This window comes from Homo sapiens, chromosome 10 (genome assembly GCF_000001405.40).
Source record: "Homo sapiens chromosome 10, GRCh38.p14 Primary Assembly".
Lineage (NCBI taxonomy): Eukaryota > Metazoa > Chordata > Mammalia > Primates > Hominidae > Homo > Homo sapiens.
In genome coordinates this window covers 29,283,982-29,286,876 of record NC_000010.11, presented here as the reverse complement: position 1 = coordinate 29,286,876, position 2,895 = coordinate 29,283,982, and the positions used below count along the sequence as shown (strand labels likewise).

Sequence of the window (2,895 nt, the reverse complement as noted above, 5' to 3'; positions counted from 1 at the left end):
TTTACAAATCAATGTCTGATGAGATGAAAGCCTTGTATTCAGAATATATAAAGGACTCTTAGAATTCAACTATAAGCAAGCATATAACCCAATTAAAAAAAGGGCAAATGATTTAAGCAGACATTTCAAAGAAGATATACAAATGACAAGCATATGAAAAGATGATCAATATCATTGTCACCAGGAAAGAGTAAATAAAACCACAATTAGATATCACTTCTCACTAATTAGAATTGCTAAAATCAATTAGATGAAACCAAATGATGAAGACACAGAACTGTAAGAACTCCAATTTATCACTGGTGGAAATACAAATGGTACAGTCACTTTGGAAAACAGTTAGTCAGTTTCTCATAAAATTAAACATGGACTTATCACATAAACCGACAATTATACTCCTATGTATTTATTCAAGTGAATAAAAAACTTACATTCACACAAAAACAAGCTAACCCATGTTTATAGCAGCTTTATTCATAATCAATGAAAACTGGAAGCAACAAAGATGACCTTCAGCAGGCAAATATATTCAAAAACTATGATCTATCCATACAATGGAATACTACTCAGCAATGAAAGGAATGAGCTATTTGATTCCCGCAACAATGAGGATGAATCTTAAATGCATTTTGCTAAATAAAAGAAGGCAGACCCAAAAGATTACTATTATATATACGTATTATATATAATTCCATATATACGACATTATGGAAAAGGCAAAATTTATAGGGATGGAAAACAGTTCAGTGATTGTCAAGGGTTAGAGGAGAAATTGACTACAAAGGAACCACACACATTCTATTTTATTTTAGGTCATTGGAACTGTTCTCTATGATACTGGGGTAGTAGAAACATGGCTTCATGAATTTGTCAAAATCTGTAGACCCGTACACCACAAAGGGGGAACTTCATTGTATGCAAACTTTAAAAAAATCATCCAGGATGTTGGGGAATACCAGGATAGAATTTAGTCTGTGAGAAAAAGACCTAACTGTATTACAAACGTATAACATAACCTCACTGAAGGCGTGGGAAAAGAGATGCGGATCCAGGTAACTTTAGAAAACAGTGTTTTGACTGAATATCTAAAGTCTAAAGACAAAACAATCTGTACATAAACACTGTACTTCAGTTGGTGAATTCCCTTCTCCCTGGGGTAAGAGTTAGCAATTCTGAAACTACATGTAAACTAGCATTAAGCAAATGAAGAAAAACATTGCAGATGATGGGAGCCAGATTTCACACTGTCAGAGAGAGAAGTTAAAAACAAGCAAAAGAGAAAGACTAGAATTGAACTCTGTGACACTGGATTAGAGTTGGAGACATTAATATAAATCTGTCCATCTACCTAGAAACAGTGGCACTCCAGTAGCTATGGGCATTCTCAATACACAGACTTGCTTCTAATACCATTTTATTCTCCAGTAAAAGAAACCAGGACTCCTTAGAAAAGAAGCTGATTGCAGAACTGAGTCAGGGAAAATGCAAAATGAGCTTGGGGTATCTTGTTGGTGCCAAAGAATAAGGAAATGCTGAGGGTGGGGGAGGCACATGTCGAAGAGACACAGGAACCAAACTGAGAAAACCCCCCGATGGCCTAAACTGAGACAATCGCACAACAAAATAAACAACGATAGTACTGGATTCTAACACACAGAATAAAATAAATATATATGAGGACATACTGATATAAATAAATGATTGAATAAATAAATATCTGAGGACAAGAAACAAGTCTGTCTCTCAGAAGAATTCTAAGTAATCTATGTAGAAAATCCCCCTCCAGGAAATGGAGCTTAATTCTCCTCCCTTTGAGTAGGGGCTCGACTGACTGACTTGCTTCCCACAGATAGAATGCAGAAAGGGGAAAATGGCGACTTTCTGGTGAGGAAACCCAGCGGACTCTATCTTAGCCAAGTGATCCAGGTTAACCTCATCAGGGATGAGTCATGTTAGGTCCCCCTGATAGGACATGACAAGAAGGGCACCTCACCTCTGTGGTTTTCTTTCCCCGAAATCCATAACCCCACTCAAATCATGAGAAAACATAAATAAAACCCCAAAGGATGGACATCCACAAAATACCTGACCACTGCTCCTCAAGTATGTCAAAGTCAAGAAAAGCAAGGCTGAGAAAACGCTAGACTGGAAGAGACTAAGGAAGTGTGAGAACTAAAAGCAATGCGGTGTCCTGGATTGGATCCTGGGATAGAAAAAGGACATATTAGAAAAACGAGTGAAAGCTGAATAAAGCCTGCAGTTAATATATTGCACCAATGTTACTTTCTTGGTTTTGACAGACATGCTGTGGATGTGTAAGATGCTCATGTTAGGGAAGCTGGGAAAAAGGTATGTGGGACTCTGGACTCTCTGCACGACTTTTCTATAAATCTAAAATGATTCCAAAATAAGTTTAAAAATCTGTTAGCATACTGTTGATAGCCACTTATCACAGAAAAGGTGAGCAGATTTGAACTGCTTGATTATTGTAAAATAAAAGTGACTAATCTCTACAGTGGCCAATGACTGTAACTACATTGCTAATAAGAAACCCAGCACACATGTGCCACAAAAAGTTTTCAAACTCACTCCTCTTCTCATGATAAATTATGTGAGGGTTCTATTACTTAAAGGTCTCATTTTAATCAAATTAACCATATTAATTTCACTCTACCAATACAGTCTGACCCTACTTATTTTTTGTGTAAAGTGGGACCGCACTGGTGATATTATGTGCCATCTAAATGACCACATATTGCAGTAAACTAAAAGCAGCAAATGGATACATTATTCTCCATCTTCTTACCTGGGGGCCATAGAAAGTAAGATGAAGACACAAGAGCCAAACAACACAGGGGTAAAGATTCAAACTCCTAAGCTGACTTACACATTTAC

General features: G+C 36.9%; 2 annotated features.

Moving 5' to 3' along the window:
• Positions 973-1,062: an enhancer, noted in NCBI's record as "active region_3194". NCBI's record gives its function as "activates an Ori minimal core promoter by ATAC-STARR-seq in GM12878 lymphoblastoid cells {active_cell/tissue: GM12878}" and the evidence as "EXISTENCE:reporter gene assay evidence [ECO:0000049][PMID:35858748]".
• Positions 1,173-1,242: a silencer, noted in NCBI's record as "silent region_2258". NCBI's record gives its function as "represses an Ori minimal core promoter by ATAC-STARR-seq in GM12878 lymphoblastoid cells {active_cell/tissue: GM12878}" and the evidence as "EXISTENCE:reporter gene assay evidence [ECO:0000049][PMID:35858748]".